Raw genomic sequence first — 20,736 nt, forward strand, 5'->3', positions numbered from 1 at the left:
CTGTGCCTGGTTTATTTCACTTTGCATAATGTCCCCTAGGTTTACCTATGTTGCTGTGAATGACAAGATTTCCTCTTTTTAGAAAAGGCTGAGTAGTATTTCATTGTGTACACGTACCACATTTTCTTTATCCATTCATCTGCTGATGGACACTAAGCTTGATTATGCATCTTGTCTGCAACAAACATGGGAGTGCAGATATCTGATGACATATTGATTTCAATTCTTTTTTTTTTTGAGACAGAGACTCACTGTGCTCTGTCACCCAGGCTACAGTGCAATGTCACAATCTCAGCTCACTGCAACCTCCACCTCCTGGGCTCAAGAGATTCTCCTGCCTCAGCCTCCCAAGTAGTTGTGATTACAGGTGCCCGCCACCACACCTGGCTAATTTTTGTATTTTTAGTAGAGATGGGACTTCACCATATTGGTCAGGGTGGTCTCAAACTTTTGAGCTCAAGTGATCCACCTGCCTCAGCCTCCCTAAATGCCAGGATTACAGGCATGAGCCACCGCACCCAGCCTCAATTCCTTTAGATAGATACTCAGTAGCAGTACTGTTGGATCACATAGTAATTTAATTTTTAGTTTTTTGAGGAACCCCCATGCTGTTTTCTAAAATGGCTCTACAAATTTACATTCCCACCAACAGTGCACAAGTGCTTCCTTTTCTCCATATCCTTGCCAACACTTGTTATCTTTTATCTTTTTGATAATAGTCATTCTAACAGGTATGAATATCTCTGTAGTTTTGATTTGCATTTCCCTGATGATTAGAGATATTGGGCATTTTTTCACACACCTGTTGGTCATTTGTATGTCTTTTTTTTTTTTTTTTTAGAAAGTTCTATTCAGTTCCTTTGCCCATTTTTTAATCAGGTTATTTGGTTTCTTCCTATTGACTTTTTTGAGTTTCTTATATGTTTTATAAGATATTAGCCCCTTATCAGATATGTGGATTACAACTTTTTTATCCTATTTCATAGGTGGTCTCTTCATTCTGTTGATTGTTTCCTGTACTGTGTAGAAACTTTTTAGTTTGATGTGACAGCTTAAAATACACTGGACGTTAGACAAAAAAGGCTACTCATATCTGAGAGAAAGGAAACAAATTAGGTGAGCTTTACAATTAAATACAAAACAGATAAAGTGGCCGGGTATGGTGGCTCACGCCTGTAATTCCAGCATTTTAGGAGGCCGAGACAGGCAGATCACATGAGGCCAGGAGTTCGAGACCAGCCAAGGCAGGTAGAATTCACAAAGCAGAGTGCTAGAGAGAGAAATCTGCACTGAGTGAGAACTCCAGAGGTCTGCAGAGGATGCTTTTAGCATATTCAACCGAGTACTAATCAATGTATACATGTAAGGAAAATACAAGACACCAGGGAAAAAAATATTCAATGGTTCAAAGGTACAATCCTCATACAAGACTGAAAATCATTCCTGTTCTCACTCAGATTGGAAAAATCTCATAATTTGTGCAATACAAGGTAGATTATATAAAAACATTTTGCCTCAGAAGTAGAACAAAATAAGTCTGAGAGTAAATGCTACTCTGGTACTGCCTAACAAAATGTGATCCAGAAAGATCAAATCATTTCCATGTAACTTAACCATATCCCAGGAAAAATTCAATAATATTCATAGGTATTGAAAAGTAATTTATTCACACCAACATCGCACATGTATACATATGTAACAAACCTGCACATTGTGCACATGTACCCTAAAACTTAAAGTATAATAATAATAAAATTTAAAAAAAGTAATTTATTTTACCCAATGATGTAAAATTATAATCTCTTACATATAGTCAAAAATTACCAGGCATGCAGATAAGCAGAGGAATAATGACTCTTACTTAACGAGAATAAAAATGAATCAATACAAACTAATCCAGAAATGACACTGATTATAAAATAGAGGACATTAAAACACATATTTTAAGCATATTATAACTATATTCCATATGTTCAGTAAGTTACAGAAATGATTGAACATGCATGAAAACTACAATGTCTGAGGTGAAAAATACATGGAATGAAATTAACTACAGGAAGACGTTGCAGAAGAAAAGATTAGTGAATGAAAAATGTAGAAATAGAAACTATACAAAATGAAAAATCTAGACGGGGAAAGAAGATGAAAAAAATTAACAGAACATTTTTAAGCTGCAGAAGAGCTTCAAGTAGTCTAACGCAAGCATTACTGAGGTCTCCAAAGGAGAGGAGAGATGGGAAGGCAAAAAAGAACATTAGAAGAAATAACATCTAAGAATTTTCCAAATTTTATAAATGCTATAATCCCATATATTTAAAAATATGAATGAACCATAAGCCCAAAAACATGAAGAAAAATATAGTAAGTCACATCATTAACAAATTGCTTAAAATTATTGATAAAGAGAAAAATCTTAAAAGCAGCCAGTAGGGAAAAACACACTACGTACATAAGAAATAGGATAAAAAAGAGCACAGATTTCTCATTGTAAACAATCCAAGCTGGAAGACAGTGGAGTAACATATCTAAAATACTAAAAGAAATAAAGTATTAACCTAGAATTCTATACTTAGAAAAAATGTCTGTTAAAAATGCAGGCAAACAAAAACTCTTTCATACCTAAAAGAATTCATCACCAGCAAGCAGAACTTCACTATAAAAAATGTTAAAGGGCCAGGCACGGTGGCTCACACCTGTAATCCCAGCACTTTGGGAGGTCGAGGCGGGTGGATCACCTGAGGTCGGGAGTTTGAGACCAGCCTGACCAACATAGAGAAATCCCATGTCTACTAAAAATACAAAATTAGCCAGGCTTGGTAGTGCATGCCTGTAATCCCAGCTACTCAGGAGGCTGAAGCAGGAGAATCACTTGAACCTGGGAGGCAGAGGTTGCAGTGACCTGAGATCGCGCCATTGCACTACAGCCTGGGCAACAAGAGTGAAACTCCATCTCAAAAAAAAAAAAAAAGTTAAAGGAAGTTCTTCAATCAGAAGAAAAATGATACCAGATGGAAATCTGCATCTACACAAAGGAATGAAGAGCACCAGAAATGGCAACTATGTGAATAATTATAAAGATATTATCTCTTATTGTTTAAATCTCTTAAAAAGATAATTGACTGCTTAAAGTAAAAATAACAATATATTCTGGGGTCTATAACATGAAAGAGTAAAATATGTAACAATAATAGCACAAAGCCTGGGAGGAAACAAATGCAAATATAATGTTTAAGGTGTTATACTATATGAAAAATGATTTAATATCACTTTAAGATATACTGTGATAAGTTAAAGATGTATACTGTAAACCATAAAGCAACCACTAAAAAACCATAGAAGAATTATAGCTGATAAGCTAATAACGGAGATAAAATAGAATAAAATATTCAATCTAAAATGAGGCAGAAAAAGAAAAAAAGTGAACAAAGAACAGTAGTACACACAAAACAAATTGCAAGATGATAGATTTAAACCCAAACATTTCAATATTCATACTATCATATAAATTTATATGATCTAAACACCTCAATTAAAAGGCAGAGGTTTTTCAAGATGGCTTACTAGAGACATTGGATGCCAGTTCTCAGAAAAAACGAACCAAGGTTACAGGGGAATAATCATGGCCCCAGTAAAATACTGAGAGAAGAGTGCAAGGGCATATTACAGAAATCACAAGAAAAAGTTGAGATGCAGAAAAAAAAATAAGGCTGGGCGCAGTGGATCATGTCTGCAATCCCAATCCTTTGGAAGGCGAAGGCAGGAGGAGTGCTTGAGCTCAGAAGTTTGAGACCAGCCTGGACAACATACAGGGACCTCACCTCTTCTAAAAGTCAAAAAGTTACCTGGCTGTGGTGGTGCATGCCAGCTACTTACGAGGCTGAAGTGGGAGGATTGCTTGAGCCCAGGAGGTCAAGGTTGCAGTGAGCAGTGATTGCTCCATGGCACTCCAGCCTGGGTGACAAAGCAAGACCCTTTTTCGAAAACAAAAAAGAAAAAAAGAAAATAAAAAGAATGAAGCAAGGTTATGGCAGAGATTGAACCCTGAGGAACTTGGAGTCCTGTGGAAAAGGTAGGTGAGGGTGTTGTTTGCTCCCCTCACTCCTGCAGCAAACTATTCTTTTCTGAATTGTTGGTCAGCCACTCTGCACTTGCAAGCTCTAGCATTGGCGTAGGCAGTGATTTGGGAACTTCTTGAGGGCTGAGCACTAGGCTACCAGCTTGTGCAGGGTCACTGCCCTCAGTCCAGACCTTAGCTGAGATGGTGGACACCATACTGGTTGTGCACCCATTGTGGGCCTCTGTCCCACCCTGGACATCTCAGTCCTTGTGTCTCTGCATCACTGGACCCCCTGCAAAACATTCCCCAGCACCTTGGACTGTGGCAACCACAAAGGACTGGCAGGACCCAGGGAGCTGCAGGATTCCCAGAGGTCTAACCTTCAATGCAAATTTCCTACAGGAAGAAAGAGTGCAGTGTGCCAAAGCACCCCTTGGGACTAAGGACACCAAAGCATGTGTTTTTCTGTGCCTAAGAGCTCCTCACTTGTGAGCTGAAGGTGACTGCACTTCTCCCATTGGAGACGTGGGTGCAGCCAGATGGTACCAGTGCTTGCAGACAGATGTGTAGAGGGAGACTTCTTCCCCCTTACCCATTGCTCTGGATGCAACCACAGCTCTTCTGGCAAGAGACTGGCATGGGTATGCCTATAGATGACCATTCCAATGCTATTAGGGGCAGCTGTACCTCCCTGGGTATGTACCCACCAGGCCTGGGCTTGCATGAATGGCTGGCCCCTCGTCCTCTCTATAGGGAGTATCAGCATTCCTGCAGTGGAGATTGGGCAACCTGCAAAACTGTCAGCTTGGGGCTGAGGGAAGAGGTTCCACCTTGAAGCCATTTACACAGAGAGGTTTTGTACTGGTGTCTTCCACAGCCTTCAGCTACATTGCAGACTGGAGATAAATGACAGATTTTATTTGAACTGAAAGTCAGGGGCCTCTGGACAAGGGTATGATAGGGATGTGGTTTGTTTTCCTGACTGCTCAGCATGTGGAGTTGGTGCAGAATCCCTCCCTTCACAGCTTCTGTCATCAGTCCCATCAGGTCTGGTACTTGAATGGATCATTGAGGTATCTGTGGGTGAATTTAGCAGTCCAGTGCTGCCCAGCTTTGTCCCCACCTCAGGGTTGAGCAGGGAACTCCAAGCACCGGGCATTCCACAGACCAGCCCACCCACTGAGACAACAGAGTGCCCCTCCTGGTAAACAAAGATCAAGAGCATACCAATCAGCTTCTGCCACAACCGGCTCTTACCCATAAGTGCCACCTACTGATATTGAGGTTGAACTGCATAATCTAATTTAAAATGTGCTGATAGAAGCCAAGCATTGTGGCACATACCTGTAATCCCAGCACTTTGGAAGGCTAAGGTGGGGGCACTGCTTGGGCCCAGGAGTTCAAGACCAGCCTAGGCAACATGGCAAAACCCCCGTCTCTGCTAAAAATACAAAAAGTAGCCAGGTGTGGTGGCACACACCTGTAGTCCCAGCTACTCAGGAGGCTGAGGTGGGAGGATTGCTTGAGCCCAAGAGGTTGAGGCTGGAGTGAGCCAAGATAATCCCACTGCACTCCAGCCTCAGTGACAGAGGGAGACCCTGTCTCAAAAAAAAAGAATAGATGAATAAAAAATAAAAATAAAATGTGCTGATAGAAGTGCACAGTACTGTCGAATAAAATAAGCTTCTTGAGACCTCTGCAATTCTAGTCCCACCATGTGCAGTAAGCGTGTTCATATGCTCAGCATATCACTGCTACAACCAGGATTTGAGAAAGCCACCGCACAAAGGCTATTTATAACCAAGAAACTCATAAGACTTGGGCCCCTGAAAGCACACAGAATCAAAGCCAAACAACCACACAATATACATTACAGTCATACCCTCAAGTGGGGGAAATGCTTTTTAAAAGTCCCATTCAAGCAAAAGTAAATTAAAAAATAAGAAGTGACAGCTTCTCCAGATAAGAAGGAACCAGCATAAGTATTCTGGCAATATTAAAAAGCAGAGTGCTTCAATACCACCCAAAGGATCACATTAGCTTTCTAGCAATGAATCCTAACCAAAATGAAAATTCTGAAATGACAGATAAAGGATTTAAAATATGGATTGTAAGGAAGCTCAATGAGATCCAAGAAAGGGCCAGGTGCGGTGGCTTATGCCTGTAATCCCAGAACTTTGGGAGACCGAGGAGGGCGGATCATAACGTCAGGAAATTGGGACCATCCTAGCTAACACGGTGAAACCGTTTTTTCTAAAAATACAAAAAATTAGCTGGGCATGGTGTCGGGTGCCTGTAGTCCCAGCTACTTGGGAGGCTGAGGCAGGAGAATGGCATGAACCCAGGAGGCAGAGCTTGCAGTGAGCCAAGATCATGCCACTGCACTCCAGCCTGGGCGACAGAACAAGACTCTGTCTCAAAAAAAAAAAAAAAAAAGAAAAGAAAAGGAGATCCAAGAGAAAGTTGAAAACCAATACAAATAAATCAAAAAAACAATTCAGGATATAAATGAGAAATTTACTAAAGAGATTTTTTTAAAAAAACAAAACAAAACTTCTGGAAATGAAATGCTCATTGAAGGAATTACAAAATACAGTTGAAAAGCTTTAACAATAGACTAGACCAAGCAGAAGAATTTCAGAGTTTGAAGACAGTTCTTTCAAATTAACCTTGTCAGACAAAAATAAAGAACAAAGAACTTTTAAAATGTAAAAAGACTTGAAGAAATATGGGAGTATGTAAATCGACCAAATCTAAAAGTAATAGGTATTCTTGAGGGAGAAGAAAAACCTATTTGAGAAAGTAATTCAGGAAACCTTCACTGGTCTTGCTAGAGATTCAGACATCCAGATAAAAGAAACTGAAAGAACACCTGAGAGATACTTTGCAAGATAAACTTCATCAAGGCATATAATCATCAGGCTTTCCAAACTCACCATAAAAGGAGAAATCCTAAAAGCAACAAGACAGAAGCATCTAATAACATATATACACACACATACACATACATATGTGTGTGTATATATGCACACAATCCCATCAGATTTACAGTGGACTTCTCAGAAGAAACCTTACAAGCCAGAAGAGATAGAAGCCCTATTTTCTGTCTTCTAAAGAAAAACACTGCCAGCCAATAATTTCGTGTCCTGCTAAACTAAGCTTCATAAATGAAGGAGAAATAAAGTCTTTCCCAGACAAGCAAACCCTAAAAGAATTCATCACCACCAGACTGGTTCTACAAGAAATGTTCAAAGGAGTTCTAAAGATGGAAATGAAAGAGTAACATTCACCATCATAAAAGCACATGAAAGTTTAAAACTCACAGATCTCATAAAGCAATTACACAATTGAGACTACAGGACCACGTTATAACAGGAAAAAAACCTTACATATCAATACTAACCTTGAACTTAAATGGACTAAATTCTCCTCTTAAGAGATATAGTCTGGGGGAATGAATTTTTTTAAAAAAAAAATCCAAGCTTATGCAGTTTATAAGAAACTTACCTAATGGGTAAAAACATTTACAGACTCAAAGTAAAGGGGTGGGAAATATATTCTATGCAAACATAAATCAAAAGCAAGCAGGAGTAACTATACTTACATCAGATAAAACAGACTTTATAACAGGTAAAACAGTCAATAACAGTGAAAAAAGAGCAAAAAAGTCATTATATGATAAAGGGACCAACTAAACAAGATGTAACAATCCTAAATATATATGCACCCAACACCAGAGCACCCAAGTTCATAAAACAAATACTATTAGATGTAAGAAAATAGACAGCAATACAATAACAGTGGGGGATGTCGACACCCCACTGACAGCACTAGACAGATCACTGAGGCAGAAATTCAATAAAGTAACACTAGACTTAAACTGGACTCAAGATCAAATAGACTGGTAGGGCATGGTGGCTCATGCCTGTAATCCTAGCACTCTGGGAGGCCGAGGTGGGTGGATCACCTGAGGTCAGGAGTTCGAGACCACCCTGGCCAACATGGCGAAACCCCATCTCTACTAAAAATACAAAAATTAGCCAGACATGCTGACACCTACCAGTAATTCCAGCTACTTGGGAGGCTGAAGCAGGAGAATCGCTTGAACCCAGGAGGTGAAGGTTGCAGTGAGCTGAGATCATACCACTGCACTCCAGCCTGGTCGACAGAGTGAGATCAAATACACTGAACAGACATTTATAGAACAGTCTACCTAACAACCACAGAATATTATCTGTGCATGGAATAGTCTCCAAAATATACCATATGCTAGCCCACAAAGTCTCAATAAATTTTTTAAAAATTGAAATCGTAACAAGTATCTTCTTGGACAACATGGAAGCAAGAATAGAAATCAGTATGAAGATGAACTCTCAAAACTAAACAATTAAACAACCTATTCCTGAATAATATTTAGTTAAGTGATTAAATTAAGGCAGAACATATTTTAAAATTTTTAATGAGTGAAAATAGAGACAAAACATACCAGAACCTGTGGGTTACAGCAAAAGCAGTGCTGAAAGGGAAGTTTATGGGGTTAAATGCCTACATTAAGCAGAAAGGCCAGGTGCAGTGGCTCACACCTGTAATCCCAGCATTTTGGGAAGCCAAGGCAGGTGGATCACTTGAGGTCAGGAGTTAGAGACCAGCATGACCAACATGGTGAAATTCCGCCTATACTAAAAATACAAAAATTATCTGGGCCTGGTGGCAGGTGCCTGTAATACCAGCTATTCAGGAGCCTGAAGCAGGAGAACTGCTTGAAGCGGTGAGGCAGAGATTGCAGTGAGCCAAGATCGTGCCACTGCTCTCCAGCCTGGGCTACAGAGCAAGATTTCATCTCAAAAAACAAACAAACAAAACCAGATTGAAAGATGAGAAATATCTCAAGTTAACAGCCCAATGTCACACCACAAGAACTAGAAAAACAAGAAGAAGCCAAACCCAAAGCTGGCAGAAGAAATAACAACGATAAGAGCAGAACTAAATGAAATAGAAACAAAAAAGAAAAAAAGAAAGGATTAATGAAACAAAAAGCTGGTTATTTGAAAAGATAAACAAAATTGATAGATTGCTACTAGATTAACCAAGAAAAAAAGATAAAATTCAAATGAGCACAATCAGAAATGATAAAGATGACATTAAAACCGATATCACAGAACTACAAAAGATCATCAGAAAGTACTATGAGCATCTCTACAGGAGTAAACTGAAAAACCTAGAAGAAATGGATAAATCCTGGAAATATGCAACCTCCCAAGATTGAACCAGGAAGAAATAAAAGCCCTAAACAGGTGAATAATAAGTCATGAAATTAAATCAGTAATTAAAAAAAAATCTCCCAATTTAAAAAAAGGCCCAAGATCAGATAGATTTATAGCTGAATTCTACCAGACCTACAAGAAGAACTGGTACCAATCTTACTGAAATTGTTCCAAAAAACTGAGAAGGGGAGAAACCTCCCTAGCTCATTCTATGAATCCAATATTGATTGCCCTGATACCAAAGCCAGGAAACGAGAAAGAACAGAACGGCAAGAAAGAACAGAACGGAAAGAGAACAGAACGGAAAGAAAGAACAGAACGGAAAGAAAGAACAGAACGGAAAGAAGAGGGAGGGAGAGAGGGAGGGAGGGAAGGGGAGGAGAAAGGAAGGAAGGGGAGGAGGAAGGAAGGAAGGGGAGGAGGAAGGAAGGAAGGAAGGAGAGGAGGAAGGAAGGAAGGAGAGGAGGAAGGAAGGAAGGAGAGGAGGAAGGAAGGAAGGAGAGGAGGAAGGAAGGAAGGAGAGGAGGAAGGAAGGAAGGAGAGGAGGAAGGAAGGAAGGAGAGGAGGAAGGAAGGAAGGAGAGGAGGAAGGAAGGAAGGAGAGGAGGAAGGAAGGAAGGAGAGGAGGAAGGAAGGAAGGAGAGGAGGAAGGAAGGAAGGAGAGGAGGAAGGAAGGAGAGGAGGAAGGAAGGAAGGAAGGAGAGGATGCAAATTTAGCATCCATTCATAGTTTAAAAAAAATTCAACAAACTAAGCATTGAAAGAACATACCTTAAAATAATAAAAGCCATCTATGACAGACCAACAGCCAACATCACACTAAATGAGGAAAAGTTTAAAGCATTCCATGTAAGAACTGAAACAGAAAAAGGAAGCCCATTTTTATTATTTTTATTCAACATAGTACTGGAAGTCCCAGCTAGAGCTATCAGGCAAGAGAAAGAAAGAAATAAAAGACACCCAAGTTGGAAAAGAGGAAGTCAAATTATCTGTTTGATGCAGATATGACCTTATACCTAGAAAACCCTAAAGACTCCTTCAAAACACTCTTAGATTTGATAAATTACTTTAGTGAATTTGTAAGATACAAAAATCCATGAATAAAAATGAGTAGCATTTTTATACACCAATAATAATCAAGTTGAAAATCAAGTCAAGAAGGCAATTCTATTTACAATAGCTACAACACACACACACACACACCCCTAGGAATACATGTAACCAAGGAAATGAAAGATCTCTACAAGAAGAACTACAAAACATTGATGAAAGAAATCATAGAGGACAGAAACAAATGGAAAAATATCTTATGCTCATGGACTGAAAAAATCAGTATCATTAAAATGACCATACCGCCCAAAGCAATCTACAGATTCAATGCAATTTCTATCAACTTACCAATGTCATTTTTCACAGAATTAGAAAAAACAATTCCAAAATTCACATGCAACCCAAAAAAAGCCTGAGTAGCCAAAGCTATCCTAAGTAAAAAGAACAAAGTTGGAAACATCACATTACTTGACTTCAAATTATACTACAAGGCTATAGTAACCAAAACAGCATTGTACTGGTATAAAAATAGACACATAGATCAATTGAACAGAATAGAGAACCCAGAAATAAAGCCAAATATCTACAACCAACTGATCTTAGACAAAGCTGACAAAAACATACATTGGGAGGAAAGGACACTCTATTTAATAAATGGTGCTGGGAAACTGGATAGCCATATACAGAAGAATAAAATTGAACCCGTTTACTTACCATATACAAAAATTAACTCAAGATGGACTAAAGGCTTAAACATAAGACTGGAAACTATGAAAATCCTAGAAAAAAAAAACCTGGGAAAAACTCTTCTGGACATTGACCTAGGCAAATAATTTATGACTATGTTCTCAAAAGCAAATGCAACAAAAATAGACAAATGGGACTTAATTGAACTAAAAAGCTTCTGCACAGCAAAAGAAACAATCAACAGAGTAAACAGACAACCTACAAAATGGGAAAAAATATTCATAAACTATGCATCTAACAAAAGGCTAATATCCAGAATCTACAAGGAACTCAAACAGGTCAATAAGAAAAAAACAAATAACCCTATTAAAAAGTGAGCAAAGGGTGTGGACAGACAGTTCTCAAAAGAAGACATACAAGCAGCCAACAAACATATGAAATAATGCTCACCATTACTAATCATCATAGAAATGCAAATTTAAACCACAATGAGATACTATCTTATACCATTCAGAATGGCTATTACTAAAAGTCAAAAACAATATATGTTGGTGAGAAGGTGGAGAAAGGAAAATGCTTATACACTGTTGGTGAGAATGTAAATTAGTACAGCCTCTAAGAAAAACAGTATGGAGCATTCTCAAAGAGCTGAAAGTGGAACTATCAAAAGAAATCCTTATGTAAAAGACACCTGCACTTGAATGTTTACCGCAGCACTATTCACAATAGCAAAGTCATGGAATCAATCTAAATGTCCATCAATGGATGATTGAATAAAGAAAATGTAGGGTATATACACCATGGAATACTACTCAGCTATAAAAAAAGAATGAAATCATGTATTTTACAGCAATGTGTATGGAACAACTGGAGGCCAAGACCCTAACTGAAATAAATGCATGTTCTTACATATAAGTGGAAGCTAAATAATGGGTACACAGGGACATAAAGAGTAGAGTAATTAGTATTGGAGACTCCAAAAGGTGGGAAGGTGTGAGGGTTGAAAAATTACCTATTAAGTACAATGTTCACTATTTGGGCAATGGGTACACTAAAAGTCCAGACTTTGTCACTATGCAATATATCCACTTAACAAAACTGCATGTGTACCTGCTAAATCTATAAAAATTTAAAAAGTTATTTTAAGGCAGATATTGTCAGATTGGATAAGGTAAATAAGACTCAACAATATCCTACTTACAACAAATCCATTTTAAACACAAAGTCACGAACAAGTTAAATGTTAACAGAAAAAACACGCCATGTTAACACTAATCAAAATAAAATGGTAGAGACTTTATTAATATCAAAGTATATTGTAGAGCAAAAAATGTTTTCAAGAATAAAGAGGGTAACTTTATAATAAATGAGTCAATTTGTCCAGAGGACACAATAACCCTAAACATTTATGGATTTATTTATTTTGGCTACCCATCAAGAAATTGAACTCGGTCTTCCAAATAATTCCAAATATTTAAACACCTAATAACAAAGCTTTGAAATACATGAAGAATCTTTGTTCTTACCAGCAGATGAAGAAAAAAATTAAAAAATAAAGTAAATGAAGCAAAAAAAGTCTATGAACTTCAAGGAGAAATAGAGAAGCCCACCGTTAGAGTCAGAGATTTCAATTCCCTTGACTCAATAACAGAACAAGTAGACAGAAAATCCGTAAGGGTATAAAAGACTTGAACAACACTATTAATCAGCTCGACCTAGTTGACATTTACAAAACAATCCACCCCCAAAAAAATATATACACTATCTTTAGTTCCAGCTACTCAGGAGGGTGAGGTGGGAGCATCGCTTGAGCCCAGGAGTTCGGGGCTGCAGTGAGCTATATCACGCCATTGTACTTCAGCCTGTGTGAGAGGGCAAGACCCCCATTGCTAAAACAAAAACCCAAAATATCCAAAACAAAAGAAAAGTGAAACATTCTCTTTAATGCACCTGGAACATTGATAAAGTGAGGCCATACGTCTTGGGTTATAAAACAAAACTTAAACATTTGAAAGAATTGAAATCATACAATGTATGTTCTTGAATATAATTATATCAGATATCAATGACAGAAAAATATCTGAAAAATCCCTCAAAACTTGAAAATTTAAAAAACATACTTCTAAGTAACTAATAGGTCAAATTAATCAATAAGGAAATTTGAGTTTTGAAACTGAGATAATATAACGTGTTAAAATATGTGGAATACACCATAAGCATTAGAGGGGAATTTAGAGAATTACACACCTATATTAGAAAAAAAGAAAGGTTGTTAAGCAATGAGCTTAGCTTCTATCTTAAAAAACTGGGAAAGAAAATAAAATCCAAACTAATCAGAATAAAGTAAATAATAGGACCACATCTGAAGTCAATAAAATAGGAACTAGAAAAACATTAGAGAACAATACATAAAAACAAAGCTGGTTATGTGAGAAGATGAGTAACATTGACAAACCTATAGCCAGCCTGATCAGAAAAAATAAGCAAAGATATAATGACCAAGATCAGGAATGAGAGAGGTAAATTAATTTAAAGATTCTACAGGCCAGGCGCCATGGCTCATGCCTGTAACCCCAGCATTTTGGGAGGCTGAGGCAGGTGGATCACTTGAGGTCAGGAGTTCGAGACCAGCCTGGCCAACGTAATGAAATCTCGTCTCTACTAAAAATACAAAAATTAGCTGGGCATGGTAGTGTGTGCTTGCAATCCCAGCTACTCAGGAGGCTGAGACAGGAAAATGGCTTGAACTCGGGAGGTGGAGGTTGCAGTGAGCCGAAATCGCACCACTCCAGCCTGGGCAACAGAGCAAGACTCCATCTCAAAAAAAAGAAAAAAAAAGATTCTACAGATATTAAATGTATAATAAGAATATATTATAAGCAACGTTATGCCTTTAAATTCAGCAACTGGGACGAACTACTAAAATTCTTTGAAAGACACAAACTACCATTTTCTTTGGGAATGACAATTCATCTCAGCAGGCAAGAGCAGGTTAGTATATAATTGAAAGAGACCAGAAGGAAGCATGGAAAATTATGAGACATAGTTATAATGATAGTTTTTAACACCCAGAAACTTTCAGTTTCTTTATGATCAGTTTTCTTTTTTTTTTTTTTTTTTTTTAGCAAAAAGACATCAGTAGAATCTGAGAATATAATTTTAAATGTGTCAAAGATGTGATGAAAAACCCTTGACTTTTTTTAAGGCCTAAAAAAAGAGTCACTGAGTTTTATATATTTCTAACCTAAGATCTTAGGTAAAAAGTCATTTTAATGTGTTTGAGGCAAAGTGATTTCTTCTATTCTCCAGAAGTATCTTTTTATGACCTTCAAGAAAATGTCTATAATATTCGTAACTGGCATGGACTAAATCGCTATAATATATAAGAAGTTTCCACAAATTTACAATAAAGACAAAAGAGGCTGTAGAAAAAATGATCAAAGGATATTGACAAGCAATTTGCAAGAAAAAGTAACAAAAGTATTAAAACAGCTTCAACTTCATTAGTTATCAGAAACAAAACAATGAGATAGCATTTTTCATCTATTAGACTGACAGGTAAAAAAACTTAATAATAACCATTGCTGAAAATGAGGAAATGGGAAATTTCATGATTTCTTTTGGAAATATAAATTGCTATAGCTTTTGAGAGCAATTTTGTATTATCTGTTAAAGTTTAAAATATATATATGCTGAATAAAGGATAAAACCCACATGATCATTTCATTAGATGCAGAAAGAACATTTGACAAAATCAAATGCATTTTCATGATAAAAACACTCAACAAATTAGGTACAGAAGGAAAATTCCTCAACCAGATTAAGGGCATCTATAAAAAACCTACAGTTAACATCAATTTAATGGTAAAATACTGGATGCTTTCCCCTAAAATCAAGAACAGACAATGTGTCTGCTTTTATTACTTTTATTCACCATTGTACTGGAGGTTCTAGCCAGGGAAATTAGGTAAGAAAAACAAATAAAAGTCATCCAGATTGGAAAGGAAGAAGCAAAACTATCTCTATTTGAAAATGATAATCCCGTATAAAGAAAACCCTAAGGAATCTACTAAAAAAAACTATAAGAACTATAAACAGTTTCAGCAAGTTTGCAAAATACAAGACCAATACACAGAAATCAATTATATATCTACACATTAGTAATGAACAATCTGAAAGAAAATCAATAAAAATAATTTTTTGATAATGACACCAAAAAGAATAAAATACTGAGGATCAAATTTAACAACAGCAACAAAAAAAATCTGAGATACATACATGGGAAATTACAAAACATTATTGAAAGAAATTAGAGAAGATCTAAAAAAACAAAGATACACTTCATAATGGATTAGAAGACTTACTATTATTAAGATGACAACATTCCCCTAACTGATCTACAGAGTCAATGCAATCCTTATCAAAACATCACTGAAGTTTTTACAGAAATAGACAAGCTGATCTTAGAATTAATATGGAAATTCAAGTAACTCAGAATAACCAAAGCAATCAGGAAAAAAGAACGAAATTGGAGGACTCACCCTTCCTGATTTGAAACTTACTACAAAGCTACTGTAATAAAGACAGTATGGTCATGAAACAGAACAGACTATACATCAGTGGAACAGAATTAACAGTGTAGAAATAACCCCTTACATTTACAGTCTGTTGATTTTTTTGTTAAGACAGTGTCTTGCCTTGTTACTCAGGCTGGAGTGCAGAGGCACTGTCATAGTTCACTGCAACACCACACTTTTGGGCTCAAGAAATCCTCCCACCTCAGCTTCCCAAGCAGCTGGGACTATAGGCACATGCCATCCCACTCAGTTTACAGTGAGTTTTTTTTTTTTTTTTTTTTTTTTTTTTGAGACACGGTCTCAGTCTGTTGCCCAGGCTAGAGTGCAGTGGCCTAATCATGGCTCACTGCAGCCTTAATCTCCTAGGCTCAAGCAATCCTCCTGCCTCAGCCTCCTGAGTAGCTGGGACTACTGGTGTGTGTCACCACACCTGGCCAATTTTTTATTTATTATTATTTTTTTAAGACAGGGTCTCACTCTGTTGCCCAGCCTGGAGTGCAGTGGCACAATCATGGCTGTAGCTTCGACCTCCCTGGCTTAAGCAATTCTCCCACCTCAGCCTCCCAAGTACCACAGGTGGTACCACAGGCACAAGACACCATGCCTGGCTATTTTTGTTGTTGTTGTTTTTTATTTTTTGTAGAGACAGAGTCTTGCTATTTGCCCAGGCTGGTCTCAAACTCCTGGGCTCAAGCTATTCTCCTGCCTCACCTTCTCAAAGTGCTGGGATTACAGGTGTGAGCCACCACACCTGGCCCAGTCAGTTGATTTTTAATGAAGTTGCCAAGACCATACAATGAGTAAAAGGATAGAATATTCACAAATGGTGCTGAGACAACTATATAGTTACATGTAAAAGAATGTAGGAAGTTAGACCCTTCCTCACACCATATACAAAAAATAGCACAAGATATATCATAAGCATAAATATAAAAGCTAAAGCTATAAAAAATGTTAGAAGAAAACACGAGTAAATATTTTTACCTTGGTTCAAATGATGGTTTCTTGGATGCATCACCAAAAGCATAAGTAACCAAAGAGAAATTAAACAAAACATACCATCAAAATAAACTTGTGTTCATCAAAGGATACTTCCAAGAAAATGAACAGACAGCCCACAGAATTGGAGAAAATACTTGCAAATCATATGTCAGGTAAGGGTCTAGTATCTAGAATGTATAAGGAACTGTTACAACTCAATGATAAAAAGATAAATAACAAATTAAAAGTGGGCAAAGTGAACAGACATTTCCACAAAGAAGTATAAATGGCCAAGAAGCACATGAAAGGGTGCTCAACATCATTAGCCATTACAGAAATGTAAATCAAAACCACAATGAGATATTTCAAAACCACTAGAATTGCACTATATGTATGTATGTATACATATACATACATTTTATATTTATGCTTATGATATATATTGTGCTATTATATGTATGTGTATATATATATATACATGCATATATATACACGACAGACAATAACAAGTGTTGGTGAGGATGTGGAGGAATTTGGACTTTTGTACGTTGCTGGTGAGAATGTAAAATGGTACAGCTTTGGAAAATAGTCTGGCATTTCCTCGATAGGTTAAACATAGAGTTACTATATGATCCAGGAATTCTAATCCTAGGTATATACTCAGGCCAAATGAAAACATTCATCTACACAAACACTTGTACACAAATGTTCAGAGCAACATTATTCATAACTACCAGAAAACGAAACAATTCAAATGTCCATCAACTGATGAATGGATGAATAAAATGTGGTATATCCATCCAGTCGGTAGAACATTATTTAGCAATAAGAAAGGATGAAATTCTCATACACACTTCAACATAGATCAACCTTGATAGCATTGCGCTAAGTGAAAGAAACCACCACAAAAAAAAACACATTATATGATTTCGTTTATATGAAATGTCCAGAATAGACAAATCTACAGTGACAAAGTAAATTAGTGGTTGCCAAGGACTGGGGTTGGAATGGGGAGTGACTGCTAATGGGCATAGAATATTATTTTGGGGTGATAAAAATGTTCTAAACTTGATTATAGAAATGAGACAGGATAGTTCCCTTGACCCACTTCGTGGGTGGGAATGGAAGTGGCTCATTTCACTTAGCCTGCCACTGGCCACTCCTCATGAGACAGAGTGTGCCAGCAAGGGAGTGTGGGAACTGGAGAGAATGAACCCTGGACCTGGCCACTCTTCTCTGGCGGAAGCAGGTTCCGTGCGGGCCCTACAGCAGCATCCAAGCCCCTGTCCTCTCGGCACCTGAGTTCTTGTTTGGCATCCAGGAAGAATTAGGTCACCCACACGGATTGAAAGGTAGTGTATGTAGAAGATTTTACTGGGTAATGGCTCTCAGCAGGATGGGAGTTGGAAAGGGGATGGTGCGGAAAGAAAGTGATTTTTCCCTGAAGCCACACCATCTGAAGTTAGCGGCGTCTATCTGTAGTCTCTGACACTCAGTTGCTGCTTCTCTGCTTGCTGCGCATATACCCGGCGCTCAGCCGCTTGTGTTGCTCTGCCAGCTGAAGTCTTTTTTATATGGGCACAGGATAGGAGCATGGCAGGCCAAAAAGCAACATTTGAGGGCAAAAATGGGGTGAGCTGTTTTCACACAGGGCTGTGGTTCCAGGTTTAAGGGTGGGGTTTAGCCAGGAGCCAAGCCGTTCTGTATCATTTCCCCCCTCTGAAGAGGCACATCTAACTGCCATTAGGATATGGACAACGACCAGTCTTTCCGTTGTTTAACGAAAGCGGCAGTTGGATTCCTCCCAGAAGTCTACCCAAGGATCCCCAGCGAAAGGGAGCCATAGTCCGAGGCTCTGGCTGCCTGCCTGTTTGGAGCTTTGATGGCCTCGAGGTGAGAGAAAAAACAAGCTTTACATGGCCAAATATGCATGGATCAAACATGTATTATACAAGGAAAGAATCTAGTGTGAAATATTACAGAAATAAAAAGTGAAATATACTAGTAACATTGTACCCCAAGCTGTCTCACGCTGGTGAAAGAAATTAAACCTTGTATGGGAGAAGTTAAACTTTATGAGAGAGATAAGTGCTCTTGTCACATCTGTGGCAGTTAACAGGTGAACCTGAGGAATTCTGGGGTCTGTGGGCTTGCATGGTGGTCATTAAAGCTTCTGCCTCTTCCTTGTGTCTAAATGACCAAGGTGGCTACTTTCAGGAGGTCCCCTAAAGTACTATCTGGTCCCAGGGTGCATTTCTAAGTATAAACTGGAGGTGGTCACGTTTGTTGGTTGCCCATTCTGAAAGACAGGGAATTTGGCGTCTCTCATTCCCTTTCTTCTTTCAGTGAAATTTCGAGGTGTGAGGGAGAAAGAAAGCGGGCATTCTCCCTTTCTGTTCTTTTTGTCTGAGTCTCGGCAACCTTGGCAGGTGCCACCCATGGGTGCCAATGTGGCTTGCACCCAGGAAGCAGGGAGGGCCTAGAAAATAGGAATTACGCACACTCATCTGTGCTTCTACCTCCCCTACTGTCGACAACCTTTGAGTTCCCTGGGCCTCATTTATACCATGGAGCATGGCTTCCTTGCATGAAGCGGGGGGTTAATTGGCAGGAATCGGTCCTGCCCATTTACACTGGGACTGTTGCGTGGCTTCGGTTCCCTCAGATCTGGTTTTCCTTTCTAGGGCCTCAACCTGAAGTTTAGAATCAAGTTTGAGACCAAAAAAGAAGGTATTTCAGAGGCTGCATGGATTCATTTAGATTTAAGTCCCACATGGACTTTGCCAAATTTGCAGTTATCAGCCAGGAGGGGTTGCTCCTCTGTTGCCTCCCTAACATAAGCAAAGTGCTGAGGTAGGAAAAGAATCCTCTCGCTTAGAAAAGAAAAAAAGCTTCAAGTATCTCTAAGTTGGGGGGACCTGAGGGAAGAGCCTCTTGCTCTGTTGAAATGGGTTTCTTTAATCACTGTATCCCTCCCCTGGTTCAGACCTGCTAGACCTCTGTGACGGGAAACAAAACCAACATTCCTTTCACCTAAAGGAAAGAGAGAGTTGCCACGGTCTTGGAAAAGACACAGATCCAAAAGTTCCTCATTTTAACTCACTGTTTTTCATATCCTGGACAGGCCCCCAGATGAGACAGGATTGTTCCCTTCATCTTAACCCCCTTCGTGGGCGGGAACTGGAGCAGCTCATTTCACTCAGCTCGCCTCCTGCCACTCCTGGCGGCAGAGCGTGCGAGTGCGGGAACCGGAGCGACCGAATGCTGGAACCGGCCGGTCACTCCTCTCTGGCGGGAATAGGCTCTGTGCGGGCCTCACAGCAGCGTCCAAGCCCTGGCCTCTCGGCACCGGGGTACCTGTCCGGCGTCCAGGAAGAATTAGGTCATATGAACGGATTGAAGAGTAGTGTATGCGGAAGATTTGATTGAGTGGTGGCTCCTGGTGGGATGGGTACTGGAAAGCAGACGGTGAAAGAGGGTCATCTTTCCCTGAAGCCGCACCATCTGAAGTTAGCTGCGTCTATCTGTAGTCTTCAACACTCTTGCTGCTTCTCTGCTCACCGCTCAGCCGCTTGTGTTGCTCTGCCAGCTGAAGTCTTTTTTATGGCCACAGGATAGGGGCGTGGCAGGCCAAAAAAACAACATTTGGGCAGAAAAACAGGGTCAGCTGTTTTCAAGGCCGTGATTCCAGGCTTAAGGGTGGGGTTTAGCTGGGAACCCAGCCATTCTGTATCAGTGATAGTTGCACAACTATAAATATACTAACAACCATTGAATTGTGTACTTTAAGTAGATTAACCGTATGATATATGAATTACATCTCAGTAAAGTTGTTTTTTAAAAAATATGCATATACCTTAGTCTAGCCGTTCCAGGTCATATACTACAGCGATAGTAACAAAGATATAATATGTGGTTTATAATAATAAATATTGGAAATACTTAATCTTGCAAATGCATGATCAGTAAGGTAGTGGAGGCAAAAACTAGGTTTCCCAGGAGCTTCAGGCTTCTCAACTTCCAAGTAGTAATCTCAAGGAAGTACGTACTCTGACTGAAACTGTTTATGTCACAGACCTACTCCTTAGACCAATCACTGTTCCCATAGAGATAGCTCATTA

General features: G+C 38.8%; 2 long non-coding RNA genes across 2 annotated transcripts in view; one reads left to right on the forward strand and one right to left on the reverse strand.

The window, feature by feature from the left end:
- LOC101928882 (uncharacterized) overlaps window positions 1-19,850 on the reverse strand; it is a 162,590-nt gene extending 142,740 nt beyond the window's left edge. The window contains exon 1 of the long non-coding RNA NR_109986.1: window positions 19,719-19,850. This is a non-coding gene — a long non-coding RNA (uncharacterized LOC101928882). The remainder of the gene's footprint in view (window positions 1-19,718) is intronic.
- On the forward strand, window positions 17,854-20,388 carry LOC105374240 (uncharacterized). Its single transcript, XR_924752.3, has 3 exons — window positions 17,854-17,967; window positions 18,363-18,508; window positions 19,740-20,388. It is a non-coding gene; the product is annotated as an uncharacterized LOC105374240 (long non-coding RNA).
- The last annotated feature ends 348 nt before the right edge of the window (window positions 20,389-20,736 follow it).

This window comes from Homo sapiens, chromosome 3 (genome assembly GCF_000001405.40).
Source record: "Homo sapiens chromosome 3, GRCh38.p14 Primary Assembly".
In the NCBI taxonomy this organism is placed as follows: Eukaryota; Metazoa; Chordata; class Mammalia; order Primates; family Hominidae; genus Homo; species Homo sapiens.